Source organism: Homo sapiens, chromosome 8 (genome assembly GCF_000001405.40).
Source record: "Homo sapiens chromosome 8, GRCh38.p14 Primary Assembly".
Taxonomy (NCBI): domain Eukaryota; kingdom Metazoa; phylum Chordata; class Mammalia; order Primates; family Hominidae; genus Homo; species Homo sapiens.
In genome coordinates, this window is record NC_000008.11 from 112,937,351 (window position 1) to 112,956,830 (window position 19,480).

Below are 19,480 nucleotides of genomic sequence, written 5' to 3' on the forward strand. Positions count from 1 at the left end.
TGTTTTTTTTTTTTTTTTGAGACAGAGTCTCTCTCTGTCGCCTAATTTGGAGTGCAGTGGCACGATCTTGGCTCACTGCAACCTCTGCCTCCTGGGCTCAAGCGATTATCCTGCCTCAGCCTCCCAAGTGGTTGGGATTACAGGTGCCCACCACCACTCCTGGCTAACTTTTGTATTTTTAGTAGAGACAGGGATTCGCCATGTTGGCCAGACTGGTCTTGAACTCCTGACCTCAGGTGATCCGCCAGCCTCAGCCTCCCACAGTACTAGGATTACAGGCATGAGTTACTGCCCCCGGCAGGTAATATGTCTTTTAAGGTGCCATCCCAAAGAGGCCAGAAACACCTCTTCATACAGAGAACAGTAGGATAAATAGTAATTGCAAAGACCAATGCAATTACTACTTATCTTACTGTTACTGTTTCTGTATTGTCTGTATAACACAAGAAGAAGATGACAGTGCAAGTTTACTCAAATTCAATGCAGCAAGTGATTCTTAAGCATCTAAACATTTTTTGGAGATTGATGATTAAAAAAAGATAGCATCAGCATTCAAAAATAGAATAAATACTGAGCAGAAAGATAAAAGAAGCACACAAGTAAATTTTATTCAAGTCAAATGAGTTGTGAAAGTTGATCGTATGAATTGGTTCATTCTTGCCATACCCAACTAAAACAGTCGAGAAGCCAGGGGGGAAAAGCACTCAGAATATATAACATTGCTCTAGAAATGTAATTCTCTGCAAGTCAGGCTGCTGGAACTGCCTGTTGTAATCTGAGACCAGTTTTATCTATAAGTGCTGAAATAAGTTGCTGCAACATAAGGATGAATTTTGCCAACCACCATCACTCACCAATGGGAGCTTGCCAGCTCCCCAGAACTTTATTAATGCCCATGAACTTTCTCAAAGAACAATATGTAACATTTCTCCTTTAATGAAACCTGCAACTTTCTCTTTATTCTTCCAACATACCAAAGACCACCTGGTCTGACTGTATACCTCGAATTGTGATTCTTTCTTCTCAAATAAAATGTTACATTTAGAGATTTGTCTCTACATTTTTATTTTGACTTTAACAGAGCCAAGAGAGCATTGATAAAAGTTATAAGAAACCAAGGCAGATGAAGGAAATTCATTTGAAGGATAGGTTTCTTATAGGTAAAGATTGGCAGAATCTTATTTTAGGAAGCAAGAGTAGCATGTGCAATATTACACAGCTGATTAAGGGTGGAGGCATTTGGAAGGACAATTTGTATTAAGCAACTAGTAAGTTAGAGGAAATGGTAGTTTTTACTTTTACATTGATTTTTTAAAATACACACCACACGACTGAAGTGAAATATTTTTCGGTAAGAGGCAAGTGTGGCATTCTGTAATGAAATATGACAAAAGTGGAAAGATAATGCCAGAAAGTTAGGTTTCCACTACATTGAGGAAGAATTTAAATGCTAGAATGCAAATATATAAGCAAGGGGGAAAAAGGATCAAATTGCAAGCCATACTCCCTGGGTACAAGGCCTGTCTTTATTACTGCTAAGTATAGGAACTTCTGGTATGTGAGTTTACTCATTAGTAAAATAGAAATATTGAAACCTACAGTGTGTTAATACATTTAAAAAATAATGGTGTGAAAGTGCTTTTGAGTTAAAATATGATATATGTATGTACGTGATAACTGATATTATATCACCTCTTAATTCAATAGGTATGGGAAAAAACAAGTTTTTGATCAAGGAGTATTATTGCAATATTTAAAAGTGAGGAATCCTTTCCTGAAAGCCAAGTGTAATACTTCTTGTAACAGAATAAATAGAAGATAATTGCTTTTGTGCAGTTGGGAAGTTTTAAGTGAGTAAAGTAAAAGAGAGGGAACTGAAGATTACTAATGAATGAGATAGAAGTGGCATCAGTGTTGGAATGGATGTTGGAAAACAATGAAGACTTTTAAATCTTCATTCATTGGGAAAACGACAGGAAAATAGCAAAGACAAGGCAAAGACAGGTAACCAAGCATTTATTAGCCCCTCTTTGTTCTGGGTACTTCACTAGGCAAGTTCATGAGTCTGAGATAATCTAGTCCTTCACTGTGGCATTTCAGTTTGGTGCCACCCTTTCCATTTTTATTTAAAAGGAAAGACAACTTTGTGTAGAATAAATAACTTCCCCAAGTCAAGTAAAAAGAGCAATAGAACTTAAAAGTAAGTTCATCTGATTCCAAATCCCACGCTTTTACAGATGCAATGACATACTTGTTTTGTAAAAAATACTAATTCAATTGTTATAAAAAGTTGAAAATAAATATTCAACTCTCAGAAGAATAAAAATGATAAAGACCTGAGGGAAACATGGAAAGTCATGATTACAAACCCTTGAAAGGAGATCAGATTCTTGAAGAAAAAGTGAGTTTTGAAGTGTAACTGTGAAAAATTTTTATTTTTAGGAAGTGAGAAGGTAAAGTAGATTCAATAAAAGAGTGAAAAATGGGTAGTCAATGGCTACACTCAAGGAAACCAAGCTATTTCTCAGCCATTACATTCAAGAGAGCTTATAATAATTACAAATACTTATAGCAGTATGGTAAGGAAAGAACTGCCACAGATGTAGGCCATTCTTTAGGAAAGTTTACTTGTGAAGTGGGGAGAGACAGAACACCTTTGGAAGCTTCTATATACTAACGGTCTCTTTGTAATTACCAAAATAAGATTTATAACTAATATACTAGCATATTTAGAAAGTTCATGTAAGAAGAATGAGTGAAAATGACTTTATATTCAAAAGTATGGTTGATTTACATTATGATAATAAACTTTTCCTGAATATACATTATACAGTAGTGTTTTAATAGTACCAAATGAGTAGCATGTTCCCTGCTGTTTCACTGCTGAGATATACCAGCATTTTAATAATCCAGATACAAATCCAAAATTTGGAGTCCAAATTGTTATTTGCTCTCAAGAGAAGCCCAAATTTATGTTCACATCTAGTGTGACATAAGAGATTTCAATATCTCTTTTAAAATCTTCAAAATTCTCCTTTTCCTTTATATCTTCCTATTCAGTCAGAAAAGGCATCAATTAAGGCCTTTCCCACAGAAAGAAAGTCTATGAATATAAGGATCCCACAAGCTGAGCTTTCCCAAAAAGTTGGTTATAATTTTAAGGGCATTTAACTTTTTAATTTATTTTTCAGCATAGAAAATGCTGCCAACTTTATATCTCTTTGGCAGCATTTCTCCCTTTAAAAACTTGTTATATTCTATAGGTATTTCAAATTAGAAACAAAGCTTTTAAGATTTCAAAACACACCTGCTGGGACTATCACCTAGGAGAGTAGAGCACAAATGGTAACCAAAATATAACAAGTAAGATACCTTACTTCTCCAAGGATTTTCTCATAGATTTCCTCAGTGATTATAAAAATATTGATTACGTGCAAACAAGACTGTTTCTGTTTCATCAACTGGTATCTATAAGCCATTTACTAATACGATGAATTTGAGGTCCTGCTACAGTCATGTGATTAGAAAATTAATGGAAAATGCTAAACTGCAGTTTTGCTGTTTTAATCAATTCAATTAATTACATTTATTGAGCTCTCTTTGTCACACATACAGAAACATGAATACTCATATCTGATTACAAGGATCTTGCACTTAGAAAAGTTTCTAAGAGACAAGAAAAAAAAATTGGGTACTATAATGAAGGAAAACATGAGCTAAGAAGTTAAGAACCAGAGAGTAACTGATTGGAAAAGTAAGAAAAGCTTTATAAAAGAGGATTTTGAGTGAGCACTTGAAGAATATGTAAGATAACACAGGCAAAAACGCTAAGATATAACATTCTAGGAGGAAGAAACAACAGAACTAAGTAGTCCCAGAAAATCAGATATATTTGAAGCCAACTATGTGGGACAATTTGTTACCACACAAAATATGAATGGAAGATTGGGAATATTTTGAAGCATTTTGAATGCCAACACTGAGTACTTTTTGTATAAGTAGGCGACAGGAAAGCTCTGCTGGTGTTGAAGTTAGAAAAACACATTATTGTAGATGTTATGGATGGAAACTGTGGACGAGAAGGAGAAAAATCGGCAGCTTGTAAAACTGACATCACAATTTTCTAAAAATGTGTAAATAAACGATTAACTAAGATAATATCCATGGAAATGCAGATCAGAGAACTATTCTTATCTCTTCTACATCTCTTCATAATTGAAATATCTCTTTTATCCCTAAAGTTTTCATTCAAAGAGATTACTGCAATGTTAGGAAAATCATGAAACAGTAAATATCTGAGGTTGTAACAAACATGCTAGAGAAAGATTTTAGTAACATATTATCATTAAAATAACATGTGTATATGTGGATATATATCACTTAGTTCAAATATAATATGAAATCACGTGTATGTCTTTATTTTTAATTTTAATAGAATTTATTTTCTAGAGAATTTTCAGGTTTATAAAATAATCACAGAGAGTACAGAGGGTTCCCAAACACTACCCCTCTCTCCCCATCATAATACAGTTTCTCCCATTATTAATATTTTTTATTAGCATGGTAAATTTTTTTGCAATGAATGAATCAACATTAAAATATTTTATTAATTAAAGTTCATAATTACATTAGGGTTCACTCTTTGTGTTCTATGGGTTTTGACAAACACATAGTGTCATTATTCACTATTACAATATCCGACAGAATAGATTCACTGCCCTTATATGTCCCCTGTGCACCCTCTCTTCATCCCTCACTTCATCCCCCTGAACTCCTGACAACCAGTGTTTTTTTTTACTGTCTCTGTAGTTTTGTCTTTTCCAGAATGTCTTATAGTTGAAATTTTACCTAGGAGTGTAATTGTTGGTAAACCCATGTTTAGTTTAAAAAAAAAAAAAAAAACTGTCAACGGCTGGCATGAGTGTAAATTAGTTCAGCCACTGTGAAAAGCAGTTTTGCAATTTCTCAAAGAACTTAGAACTACCATTCAACCCAGTAATACCATTATTGCGTATATACCCAAAGGAAAATAAATTGTTCTACCATAAAGGCACATGCACAGGTATGTTCACTGCAGAACTACTCACAATAGCAAAGACATGGAATCAACCAAAATGATCATTAGTGATAGACTGGATAAAGAAAATATGGTACATATATACTGCGAAATACTATGCAGCCATAAAAAAATGAGTTCATGTCCTTTGCAGCAATATGTATGAAGCTGGAGGCGATGGTCCTAAGCAAACTAACACAGGAATAGAAAACCAAATACCAAGTGTTCTCACTTACAAGTAAGAACTAAACATTGAGTACACGTGGACACAAAGAAGGGAAAAACAGTCACTGGGGCCTACTTGAGGTTGGAGGGTGAGAGGAGGGTGAGGATCAGAAAACTACTTATTGGGCATTATGCATATTACCTGGGTGACAAAAAATAATCTGTACACCTTTTAAATCCCTGTGACATACAATTTACCTATGTAACAACCTGTATGTATAGCCCTGAAACTAAAAGTTTAAAAATAATAAATTAAATTAAAAAACTGTCAGAATGTCTTCCAAAGTGGCTTTATTATTTTGCATTCCCACCAGCAGTACATGAGCATTCCTGTTGTTTTACTTTCTCGGCAGCATTTTGTGTTGTCAGAGCTTTAGACTTTAGCTATTTTAATAGCTATGTAATCGTATCTGGTAGTTATATTAATTTGAAGTTCCCTAATTACATATGATAATGAGCTTTATTTATATGTCTATTTGCTGTCTCATATATCTTCTTTGGTGACAATTCTGTTTTGATGTTTTGCCTATTGTGTAATTGAGTTGTTTTCTTATTGTTAAATTTTAAGCAATTTTTCCATATTTAATATACAGAATGTATTTTTATTAGATATGTAATTTGCAAATTTTTTTCCAATCTGTGGAATGTTCTTTCTTTGTCTTCACAGTGCTTTTTATAGAGCAGATATTTTAATTTTAATGAAGTATGACATCAATTTTTTTATCGATTATACTTTTTGGTGTTTTATGAAATAACTGAACTTTCACTTGGATGGGGCACCAGGAGAACATGCCACGAGTTCTTTTGAATTTTCAGGGGCAGAGACTGGTAATTCTATCCAAAAACCAGTGTGACTTTCATAGTTGGAGGCAGTAATTCACTGAGTAATCACAATCTAATGTTCCTTTGAGATAAAAAGGGCCCAAGAAAAGATATAACTTTTAATTTAAGTCCTGACTAAAAGTACATTACTTCATAACAATTTGATTTATCTTTTGTCGGTGATTTTTATTCCTTTACAACCTTTCCATTTTTTATTCTTCTGGGTGATTTCCATATCTTATATGAGAATAATTTTTGTATTACATTTTTGAAATACATACAAAGTTCTTTTTCCCCCTTTGAAACAGATGAGTCTACAAATACTTCAACTTCTGCTTCTGAAACTGACCTTGACCTGAAACTGATCCACTCTCCTTTTAAAAGTCCCCCAATTTATATCGCTACTTGAAGATTTCTTTGCTCCCAATCCATGTTTCTAATCTGTATGCCTGAAAGAATTACTAGCAAGTTCCCAAATGCACTGAGTTTATCATACTTTTGCACAATCCTTTTTATGTTTGTAGCTAGGAAGCTCAGTAATGCTAGGTAGAAATTATAAAACCAAGCAGATTCATTATCATCAATCTCAAAAGGGCACTCAAATTTACTTAGCAAGGCAACATTTCTACATCAAGCTTGCTCTCCCACTCTTGGTAAAAAACTATTTTTCATTTTTCTCTCAGTCTTAAACTTTCTCTCCCATCCATCCTCATCTCCTTATACACACATTTTCATTTGATGGCCTTCCTAGATGCGGCGTTACTAACGTAAAAGTATTAAACATGAGCTTTCTCATCTTCCAATCACAAAATATGTAGGCCTAGCAGCATCTCTTCTCCACTTCTCTGTCTTCCTTTCTATTAGATTGAAAATAATTCCCCACTACCTGTCCTTGGGATCCCATTTATTTTCTCCTACAAAATTATGTTTCTTTACCTCTACCCTCTCTTTCCAATGCCACCAATAGATTTCTCTCTATAGAATTATTTGTACCAACCAATAAACATGCTTTGGTCTCTTGAATCTCTAAAAAGAAACTCTCTCTTGATTTCCTAATGACTACAAAAATGCCTCATTATTTCAGTAGTTTATATAACTTGAAGTCACCAAGCTGTAAACTATCTGAACTGTCTTTATTCACTCTTCAGCATATTTAAGTTGGTTTTCAACCTCTGTCATTCCACTGAAATCACTCTTGTCAACAACCTTCATGTTGTCAAATTCAAAACACAGTCTTCTGTCCTCCGTGCTCAATTTTTCAACAGTCCCTGCTTGCCCTTTAAAGGACTTCTTTTGCTTCAGTTACCCTTTTAGGTATTGTCATAGTCCTCTGGTCTCTCATGAGCAGGATTTGGCAGCTCCTTGTATTCTATCAGTTCGTCAAATAGATATTTGAGATGACATCACAAGTTCTCTTGTCTTTCTACTTATTTTAAATGATGTTATCTACACATAATTTTTTAAAGAAAATGATGTTTAACATTTTTATAATATGTATATATGCCTATGGTTCCCTGATATCTCTGAATTTCAATTATGTTCAACTAATCACTTAACATATCTGCCTAGAAATCTCTAAATCTTCTAAAATGTACAACTTCAAAACTGAACTCTCAATTATTCTCCAGAAATCTCTGGATGTTCACACTTTATTAAACATTATAATTCACTCCATCCTCATGTTGTTCAAGCCTTGAAAATTGAGCCTCATCCTTAATTCTTTCCTTTTTCTTACTCTCCACATCAAATTTTCATGGGATATTAAGGCTTTTATCTTCAAAAGATATCTTGAATCTGTCTCGTTCCCTGCCAACACCATAGTCCAAATCTCCACTGTCTTTCACTCAGACTACTGAAGAAACCTAACTAAAATTTAAGTTTTCTTCAATCACTGAGCTAAAATAGAAAGCATGATCTACTGAATATATAAATTGGATCAGGTCACTTACAAATCTTTACAACTTCCCATCATAGGCAGGTGAGCTAAATGAGTAAAGTAGCCTATGGGTACACATGGTGAGCCAGGGAGATCCTGCCCAGCCTAGAGAGACAAATTGTTAACTGGTTCTGAGCAGATGTTACCCTAAAAGTGTGTAGGTTTAAGTTGCCAAATATAATAAGAGAATACAGAAATATGTGTGTGTGTGTGTGTGTGTGTGTGTGTGTGTGTGTATAATATTCTGAGTTTTAAATGTTGTCTCCATTAAAAAAAACAATGTATTTAAAACAAAACATATCTTCAGTCCATATTAGGCTGAATGGCTGCCTGCTTACTTTCTCTGATGCAAATATTTGGTTTCTCCTTATTTCCTCTACTTCATTCTATTATTTTCTCCTATTTACGCTCTATAATTGAGTTTCACTGAACTCTATTTTCTGGAACAGGTAATCAAGCACTTTCTTTTCAGGCTATTCCTTCCCTGCCGGTGGGACACATATACTTCTTCCAATATCCACGGGAGTAGGACCTTCTTAAATTATGTAGGTACCCACCTTGAGACATGTTTATTCTCTGTCATAGAATCTTATTATTTTCTTTTTGACTTCTGAGTAATTTTCTACATTTGTGATTACAACTGAATGGCTTGAAATCTACTGCACTTGAAGGTAATTTTGCTCATTATATTACTATCACATTATATTATTTTTAGGTTGATTTCCAATAAATCATTAATCTAATTTGCAAATCATTGGACCAAGTAAATATTAATGTCATCAGTAATATTGTACATGTTACTTTGTAATAGCAGTTTGTATTAATAGAGTACTTAATTTGTCAAAAGCTGTATGGTTACTACGAGGCATAAGTTATCTCATGTGATCTTCTCCTCAACCGAATAAGATATACATTATTATTCTCAATTTTAGAACTGAGGAAACTAACTCTTGCAGAAGACAAGATAATTTATTTCAGGGATATAATCTGAATGAAATTTGTTTGACTTTAAAGTGCAATATATTATAATATAGTGATTAAAACGTCAGGTTTTGGAGTCTGCAAGTCAAGAGTTCAAATCCCAGTTCCATCAAATTATTAGCCAGGTAAATAAACTTCAGTTTTCTCATTTAAAATGTAGGGATAAAATAGTAAGTGCTTATAAGATTGTATAAGAAATAAAAAATACTTGGAAAAAATAATTATTTAATTGCTTATCACTTTGTGGTCTGTAAGATATAACCATTAGTCATTAAGGCTGAAAGATTTAGTTGATTTTAATAAAATCAGTATAACATGTCAAAGTCTGACTAGTCCCCAAATCTTTTGAATTTCTCTTTAGTGTGTTCCTTCAAATATTATTATCTGTATTAAGTTTCGAGCGTGGTTAAAGTTATGTAAACATTTTAGAAAATTACAATTGTGTTTGTGTGGAAATTGTATTATTGTTTTTCACTCCAAGTATAGCAAAATGTAACTTTAAGTCATTCTGAAAGATCCATGGGGGAAATTTATTATAGGTCTATATTCTAAGAACTATTTTTTTCTTCATAGAGATATTCTTTAGAGAATCACTTGTGCTTTATATAAATAAAATGAATAAGTAAAAATAAAAAATATGTGGTATCTGTAACTATAAACATTAGCATAAATAATTGAAAAATAAAATTTACCATGGACACTGTAAAAATAGGTATTTGTGAGTTTTCGTGAGATTATTATCTAATATTTTGATAGGCTTTTTGTAATCTTTTGTTTGTAATAGATTCTAGAGGACTAAGAAAAATTCAAGTTTATTAAAAAGCATTATTTGATAGTTATGTAAATTAATGGCTGCCACAGTATACTATGTAAATTCTCTAGGTTGTTTAACTTAATTTTAAATTGATAAAATTAATACTAATTTGTGATGGATATAAAACTTCTACTGAAGTTATAATTACACAATACAAATAAGATGTTTATAGAACATTTGCTGGAAGGTTTTACAGGAATTGCCTCATTTGAAACTCACCATTATATGTGGTAAATGTGATTTACATGTTGCAGAAGAAGAAACTCAGGCAAACAGGATAGAGCAACTTACCCAAGATCAGACAACTAATAAGTAGCAAAACTGGAACTCAAAGTTATGTCTTTAAAATCTAAATCCCATGATTTTTCACTTACTATATGATGAGAAATTAATCATTTAAACTAAAAAAAAAGTGTTCTAATAAAGTTAATGCATTACTTAACTAATCCCTTTAAAATAATTAGATATTATTAATAACAATACATTGATAAAATGCAGTTTGATGCCACTAAGACTTCATCTTTATATTATTAGCTACTTTAAAGATTTAAATTAAAATAAACCTTGACAAGATAAATAATGAAGTCAATATTTTAAAATATTACCTAAAATCTGATCCGATTCTCTTCCCATTTTCTGGTTCTCCTGGATCTGGGCATAAATTGGAAGCTGTTTTAATACCTCCCTCATTTACTGCAACAGCAGGGAAAAAAGAAAAAAGAAACAAAATATATGTGATTAGAAAATCGATGATATTAATTTTAAAATATACATAAAATGTATTATTGTATTTTGTCACTATAATCACTGTCATTTAAGCATTTGTTAAACTATAATTTTATAAAACAATAAAGAAAGCAAAAGCATTTTATGAACTAATGAGAAAATAAATTTGCTGTTCATATTCAATGACTTGTATTAGTCTTGCCTATTAACACATTAATATTTATCACTTTTGTTTTTAGTTTCCATCAAATTGGAAAATCTCTGGAAACACATTCTCAGGGTATCAGTGTCCAGAGTTTCCATTAATCACTGGCAACAAAGAAGTCAACCACCAGTTATGATAGTTTTATTTGGATCCTTATTATTTTTGAAGGTGTAATAAAAAATACGACTTTATGAAAAAAGTTCAAAGTTCTAACACTTCTTATCTGGTATATGATAAAGCAATTTGATCTGCCAGCATTAAAATACAGCAGTGGTGCAAATTACTAGGCATGCCTTTAAATTATTACATAATGGTGTAAACCAAAACAATGGCTTTACCCTCAAGCAACTTCCATGAATATGATTTATTTAGCTTTTGTGCACATTTTCAGCAGTTTCTTCAAAGCAGAAAGTCAAAGATGTATTAATTTTTTCAGTGAATGTGACCACATTGGATATCTAAATCCCCAAGTTAGATTTTTATTATTCAGTCAGATAGTACTGAAATATCTGAGTGATATTGTTTAATAAATTCAATCTTAAAGTGAACTGGAGGATAAATTCTATTATTTTACTTTTTATCAATTTACCTGCTTTTTTTTTAGAAAAAATAGTGCCTAAGTAGAGATTCCAGAGAGAAAAAAAATCTAAACCATCCAATGCTTGTTGTCCTCCACTGTGAACTGAAAACACAGGTAGATCTTTCTTGAAAGAATAAAGATGACTACTTCTACCTCTAGATATTCTAATGCAATAAATCTATGGTAGGACTCTGGCATCAGTTTTTTGGGAGTTTTTGGTTTTTATTTTAAAGAGACAGGGTCTTGCTTTGCCATCCATGCTGGTGTGCAGCAGCACAATCATAGTTCACTGTAGCTTTGGAATCCTGGACTCAAGCCATCCTCTTGCCTTGGCCATCCAAGGTGCCAAAGTGTTGCGGTTGTAGGTGTGAGCCATTTTAAAAATAATAATGACTCTCAAGGTAATTCTAATATAAAGTCAAAATTGAGAACCACTGGACTGCTGAATATAGTAATTTAATTCAAATTGATTCATCAGATAAGAAGATAGCTATCAGACGACTGCCCAACAGTTATAGTTGTGGTAAAGTTGTCGTTTTCTAAATTAAACATCGGATTTTGCATGTTTTTACAGCATTCTAAAAAAATAATTTTCTTAGTATTACCAACCATATCCTTCTTGCCAACTGTATTACAGCTCACTAATTCAAATCATAGGATATTTATGTTTTTCTTATTCTCTAACTTGCTATACAATCTCTCTTTACCTTTCTAGGTTTTTTGGCCACTCTTACTTTTGCCGATTCTACTACAGCGGACAAATTGAAAGGCATTGGCTCACAACTCTCTATATTTGAATTTCCCTCATGCCTTGACAGAATGACCTATATGCTAATGACTTCTAATTCTTTTGAAGTTCCTTTCTCAATCTTTCAATGGCCTATTTGATTATCTACCAAACTTTCCATTGTCATCTAATCTATCTACTTAAATTCAACCTAATCACTTTGATGCTTTTATGATTCCATTTTCATCCACCTACAATACATCTTGAATACCAGAGGAGGACTAAACTTTCTAAAACACAGTTCTTATTACTGCTCAAATCTCCAATTATTCTAGATTTTCTACTGTATCAATTTTATTTCTCACTAGTCACCAACATGCATCCATCACCCAAGTCCCGTTGTCTGTTCGCTGTTCTGCAATTTGCTGAACATACTGACTCCACACATTTGTGTTTTCTCCATGTCTCCATGTTTTCCTTTCCTTCCCCTTTAGCTATCAAAATCCTATCTAATATTCAAGACTTAGCTCAAGTCCCACTTCTTCCAAAAGATAATCACTCATTTTTTCCATGTTATTCTAATTTATCTTTTTAAATAGCTTGGAGTATTTCATTTGGACAATTTTTTATTTAATTTAAAATTATCTTAATACAGTATAAATTAATAGTTTCACATACCTTTAGTTATCTATAGAAAAAGATTATATACTTGATAAAAATAGAGAAAAAACATTATTTTAATATACCTATTTAATATATTTTCAACAAATATGTCCTAGTTGTTTGATTGACAATACCACCTTATATTTGTTATCAAAGAACTGAACATTTTCTGTGAAAAAATATCCTCTTTCCAATCTTTACAAGGCTTTTGGAAATATTGTAGTATATGTTTATTAAAATGTGACTTTTTAAAATGTGGCATGAAAATGAGGAAAAGAGGTGGCATGACTTAAGCCTAACTACTTTTTTGTATTATGACATATAACACAGATTATAGGGTAATGGACAAGCAGTTTGTGAATACATTATTAGAAAATAGAAATAAGAAAAATCCCATTTTTTACATTTCACTGTCATTTTGTGTTAAACTAAAATTTTGTTAAATATTTTATATAAATTTAAATGATAGTTAACACTTACATAATACTATAGGTCCAGAACTATTCTACATACTTTATGTGTATTACCCCATTTAGTTCTCACAACCATCTTAGGAGTAGCTACTATTATTTTACACCTCCTACAGGTGAGAAAACTGAGTCATGGAGAGGTTAAGAAATGTGTCCAAAGTCATACTGCTAGTTAATGGGAATCTATATTTAAACTCAGGCAGTCTGATTTGAGAAATTCTACTATTAACCCGGAGCTCTATAGCTGTTCAGAAAGCTCGGCAAGGCAGAAACTATGTCATTAACTACAATTCAAAACACTTTTCCAAGCATTTTACCTTAAAATGCAGAGCATGTGTATAATTTCACCACTTTCACCTAATTAATCCCAGTTCTTATTATTTTGATTGTCAAGTTATTTCTGTCTGCTTGAAAGTGTCATTTAAACCACCATTTCTGGACATCTGCAAGAGGAAAAACTTTCCAATTTAAAATGTAAGGATAATGAGAGAGCTTCTGTGTGGTACGTGTATTTAATGTTAACTGTAAATATTTAAAATTTTTTAAATTAAGAAAAAAAGTGCAATCTATCTTTCATTTCTTTTGATATTTATGTATTTCAGAATTGCCCATAGCTAAGTGATGCCAAGACAATTAAATGAAGTTAGTATTCATTCAGTCATCTGCTTTCATTTCACAGTGCCATTGATGCAATTGGACAGATTTATCACTTTTACTTCTTTTAATTTGCATAGCAACTTGCAGCATTTTAAGAATATGAGTGCTCTCTAAAAGTTTAATTACATGAATAGTGTAAGTATGATTTCTTATGGCTTCTGATTTTATATAGCACATAATATACCCTAAAGATAAAAATAAGTGGACTCTGACTAAAATTCACCTCCACATTACCTCTTCCAGCTGCTTACATTGTCACTTTTCTCAGATTTTTAAAAATTAATTTAAATTTTTATTTCAACTTATAATATCAAGTGCTTTGGATCTTTTTCTGAACTCAAACAACACTGATATCAACATTGTATTGTTGTTTTTTATACTAAAACCCTTCACATTCTACAAAGAGTTATCTCTTAACTAATTTAGCTTCCCTATAAAATATTGAATCCTTAAGGGTTGAAAATATATTTTATTCACTCTTTTACCTTCTTAGTCTAGCATAGTGCTGCCATGGAGGAACTGTGGAATAAGTGGATAATATGAATGAATAAAAGTATGGATTTGAAGAATAAGAAAGAAAACACAATCATTTATGGCAGGCTCACAGTTTCCTCATAATTCCACAATAATATTCTAGAGGAGCCTACTAAAGAATTGAGTGGATAATATGAATGAATAAAAGTATGGATTTGAAGAAAAAGAAAGAAAACACAATCATTTATGGCAGGCTCACAGTTTCCTCATAATTCCACAAAAATATTCTAGAGGAGCCTACTAAAGAATTTGGAAAGACTACTAGTTCATTAATTTTAACATTTTAAAAATATAAAACCTGTTTACTTAATTTTTTTTAAATCTATAGTTTCTTTTCTTGGTGAAATCAATTTTTGAAAAAGAACACGGGGTAGATAGGGGCAATTCAGAGTTCAGGTATAAAAGCTGAAAAAAAAAAAATCTGAATGAGCCTTTTAACAGCCAAACTCTGCCCATGAACACTACTGGAGCTTCTTTAATCTCTTGTTAATTCATTTCTTACTTAAAATCTAAAGGTGCCATTATGAGACCTTTAAATACACACATACTTTGGCAGTTTGGGAATTTGATGTCCTCCATGCTTATACTGACTTTGGGCCGTGCCCATCATAGAATTGATCTTTTTTTCAAAGAACATGAGCTTTATTATTTTTTCTTATTTGAAAGACGAATGTCAGATAAAAACTTTCTTTTTAATTATTTTGTCCTAGGTTGAATAAATAATATTAAAGAGATCAATATCTGAATGTGTATTTGAAATAGATATATAATAATGATACAAATTAAAACAATATAACTCTACTGCAAACAACCATGAAAGAATATGTTTTTGAAATGAGTTATTAAATACTTTAGAAACAAATTATAGTAAAATGAAATTTAAAATAATGTTGGCTTGCTATTTTATGACAGGAAATTTGCAAAAAATATTTTGACTGAAGTGAGAATTACTTATCTTCAAAAAAATGAAAAACCAAGAGTATTTAAAAAGATTTTTATAGAAAATACAATGAATAAATGCAAAATTTATTTTAAAATTATGGAGCAAATTAACATTTTTGCCTCATATTAGCTTTTTGCCTATTTTAAAGCAAATATTTCTTAAACAAGATATTTTTATTAGAATTTTTTTTCCTAGATATACACCCATGTCTAAATTCCCTTTTTGTTCACCTTCACAACCCATGTACAAGAAAAGTGGAAATAATATATATTTCCACTAAGGCAATATACCAACAGGGATATAGAGTTACATACATCTTACAATGCCTTGATAAATCCTAGATCTCTTAGTACAAATAGCCTGAATTTCCCTGAACATTTGGAAGTTTGAACCATGCAACATGTCAAATAACATACGTGTAGACAAATTGAGAAGAGGGTAAGCCATTCTAATACGCTGTAATTCTACTTAGAATTCAGAAATAAATATATTGGCTACACAAAATATTAGAAAAAAATGTAGTAAACATAACATTTAATTTTGCTAACATTTAAGTTTTATTTCATGATGACCTGAAGAAATTTGATATGTAAGAGTCATCTCACCTGGTGATTTTTTAAATTTGTCTTTTTTTATCATAGAAAATACATCTTTCTCTCAAAAATGTGTTGAATAATTTCTATAAAAGTCATATTGTAGCATTGCTTATTTTCCTTAAAAACTAACAGTATCAATCTTGAAAATGATTTTAGCCCCCAAAATACATGAAGAAATATTAATTATACAACCAAACCCTTTGAAATTAGCTGTTTAGTGCTTTTGAAACAGGTAACCCTACCAGATCAATGGTTTCCTAGTGATATCTCTTCTGGTTTTGGATTAATATTCTCAAGTCTAACTAATAAAATGTAAAAATCACATTTGAAAATTATGACACCATTAATATTTGATATAAGACTCCAAGTTTGTTTCTCGATAATTGATATAACTGCTCAATTTTTGTCAATTACTGTTTATATGTACAAGTCAATAAACATATAGATAAAGTCCTTTTTGATATAGCTATAATAAATGATTTTTGTTAAAGAAATAATTATAAACTTATTTCATGAGGTCATTTGGAACTGAAGAAAAATAAAGTTAAAAAATATACTCTTGTTGAAGAATAAAAGTAACAACATGTATGAAATTTGAAATAACTACTTATATATTAGCAATGTTATTTTGGAAGTCAAGTATTGTGTCATAAATGGCTTGCTTCAAAGTTTCTAATATGCAACAGTATTGTTGACAATTTCCTAATTTTGACTACAAAAATACATAGCTCTACTAAAAAAATTTCGTGTTTGGTTATGGTAATTTAAATGAATGCTCTAATTCAGTGATTCTTAATCTGAGATTTTGGGATGAACTTCAGAGCCCTGATTTTGTAAGTGAAATTGTGTACTTCAGGCCATTTTTAAAGATTTTCAAGAAGTGAATAGCAATAATTAATCAATCATTTTATAAAATATTTGATTTCATAGGTTTATCTAAATTACCTCAAATTAAGACTTGTTTTTTCTGAAATGAAAATTGCTATCTTAAAAGTAATATTTCTTAGAAAAGCACTTATGTTGAAATTAAGATATAGTCAATCAAGAATTCCTACAAGAAACCACCAATTTTAGAAATGTTACTCATTTTCGCCTCACCTTCTAGAACTAAACTTGAGTGTCCTCAAGACTTAAGATCAAAAGAATATTTTTACATCTTGAAATATAAAATAAACTTTATCAAAAATAATCTGAGGCTGGGAGTTTGCCACGTTAATCCATTAAATCAATATACATTAAAATATAAAATATTGAATAATCATCATGCATGTTACACAGATATTAATGCAGTTAATTTGGTAAATACACAAATATTTTGGTAAAACACATACAAACAACACAGACACCACAAACTTCACTCTTGCACTAGAGAAAGTAACAAAAAAGAAGTACACTCACAGATAGAAAACTTGTTGCTGTTGTCTTTCCCTGGAAACAATTTAAATCCTCTAGATTTAAAATCTATGGCCTTTTTCACTAGTTAAGAAAACAAACAAAAACATGTATCAGGAAATACAATTTTAAAATGAAATTCAAGTTAACAAATTTTGTTAGCATGGACTTATGCAAGATAAAGAAACCACTTTCTTAAGCCTGATATAGTACCCAGAAGAATTTTTTTTAAAGCAATATAATCACTTAGTAGTAAAATACTAAGCAGTGTAGAATGATTTTAAATATTCTACAGGGAAAATCCTGCATATACATAGTTTTTTAAGCTGTGCTTTTTTAAACTGTCCAGATTTTTATATAAAAGTGAAATCTTAGCAGTTTATGATAAACCACTTGAAATCATCAACTTTTACGGAATAAATTAAACTAGCAAAGTAAAAATGCTGGAGTATTAGAATAGTGGGAAGGATTTAATAGGTTTGTTCTTTAAAATAAATTTCCTAAAAATTTAGTCTATTTGAAATGTTAGAACACATTTAAGAAAATGACTTAATTAGAAAAGTTTAAAATTTATTTTAATAGCTCTGTCAATCATTTCCATTCATTATCATTGCTTTTGACACTACAATTGCTGTTAGTCCATATTGCACAAAATGTATGAAAGTGAACTACAGCTATTTTGAGCCCATCTAAAATATCTTACTACAATTTTTAGATATAGTAGTTGTACATATTTATGGCGTACATAGGATATTTTGATATAAGCATACAATGTGTAATGATCAAATCTGAGTAATTGGCACATTCATCACTGCAAATATCTATTATGTCTTTGTGTTGAAAATATTCCAAATCTTCTAGCTATTTTGAAATATAAGATACTGTTAAATATAGTTGCCCTATTGTGCTATCAAATGCTAGAACTTATGTCTTCTTATCCTTCTATCTTACTGTATGTAATTTTGTCCCCATTGACCAATCACTCCTCATCACCCTTCCCTACTTCAATTATTTTCTTTTACAAAACATGGTATATACAGGAAATAACTTGCTCAGTTACAGTGTGGAAATCTTTACATATTACTTTTTATCAGGTTTATAGTGAAGGATGACAGCCTTAAATGTTATGCAATTAGGTTTTCTTCATGCTATAAATTTAAAAAAAAGCAAAAATGATTTTTTGTTAGATGGCTTAAAATTACCACTTCACTATTTCTGAACGTCATTCTAAGCAATTAGTTCAAATTATGGATATTTATTGGTTTATGAAACATTTTAAGGTAATTTTTTTCTTGTTAATAACTTCAAAAGTAGGATAGTAGAGAAAGGGCCTGATGGTTTATGTGAATATAAGATATGAACTATCTATACACACAGCATATATTTTAAAAAAAGAGGAATATTATCGTTGGAGCAGGATTTATAAGGCTGATTCTTAGTTATTATTAGTTGTGGGATTTTGGACAAGAATCTGCCTTTTTACCTGCTTTTTTCTCTTAAATAAGCAGCTAAGACTAGATGGCTTCTCTCTTTATAGTTTAAGATTCTTTAACTGTGAATCCTTATTCATGGTGAAAAAATGACTACATCCCTCCCAAGTGACGCTTTTTGTTGTGATTCTCTTCTACCCTCATCCCCACCCCGATGGTAACCTAAAGTTTAATTCTTCTGAAGTGTTCAACTGCTCTAAGTTTAGTTTTGTCACATGTGAATTTTCTGCTGTCTCAAAATACTTTTTAACAAAATCTGCATTTTGTATTTTCTGGCATAATTCTAGATTTTTCCATTGGAAACATGAATTATAAGTAGGAATCTACCTCTACTTTTCTCTGCATTATAAGATTTGACTTTATAAGTATTAAAAATAGGTCTGAAGATTTCATGGTGATTTTAACACGTCTGGATTTCAAAAAGAATAAAGAAAACTAAAGGAAAAGATTATCAGACCAAAGGAGAAAATGCAAAAGAATAAAATCCTACGGATCAAAGAGTTCAATGTTGTAAATAATAAGTTACTAATATTGGGGGGCAGTGGCAGTGTGTGTAAAAGGGGACAGATTAGCATGCCTACTTACAAGTATCTTGATTTAATTATTTGGTTGGGTAAGGTTTTCCTGCTTCTAAAAGCACCTTAGTTTTCTCTTTTATAAGCA

General features: G+C 31.2%; 1 protein-coding gene across 9 annotated transcripts in view; it reads right to left on the reverse strand.

Moving 5' to 3' along the window:
• The window catches only part of CSMD3 (CUB and Sushi multiple domains 3), a 1,214,012-nt gene that overhangs the window by 714,423 nt on the left and 480,109 nt on the right, over positions 1–19,480 (reverse strand). For 5 of the 9 annotated variants that reach the window (NM_052900.3, XM_011516816.3, XM_017013009.3 and 2 more), the window contains 2 exons: positions 17,334–17,411; positions 10,440–10,527 (listed from right to left, as the gene is read on the reverse strand). In NM_052900.3, coding sequence (NP_443132.3) covers positions 10,440–10,527; positions 17,334–17,411 — 166 coding nt within the window. The remainder of the gene's footprint in view (positions 1–10,439; positions 10,528–17,333; positions 17,412–19,480) is intronic. The other 4 variants (NM_001363185.1, XM_017013010.2, XM_047421314.1 and 1 more) reach the window with 1 other exon arrangement.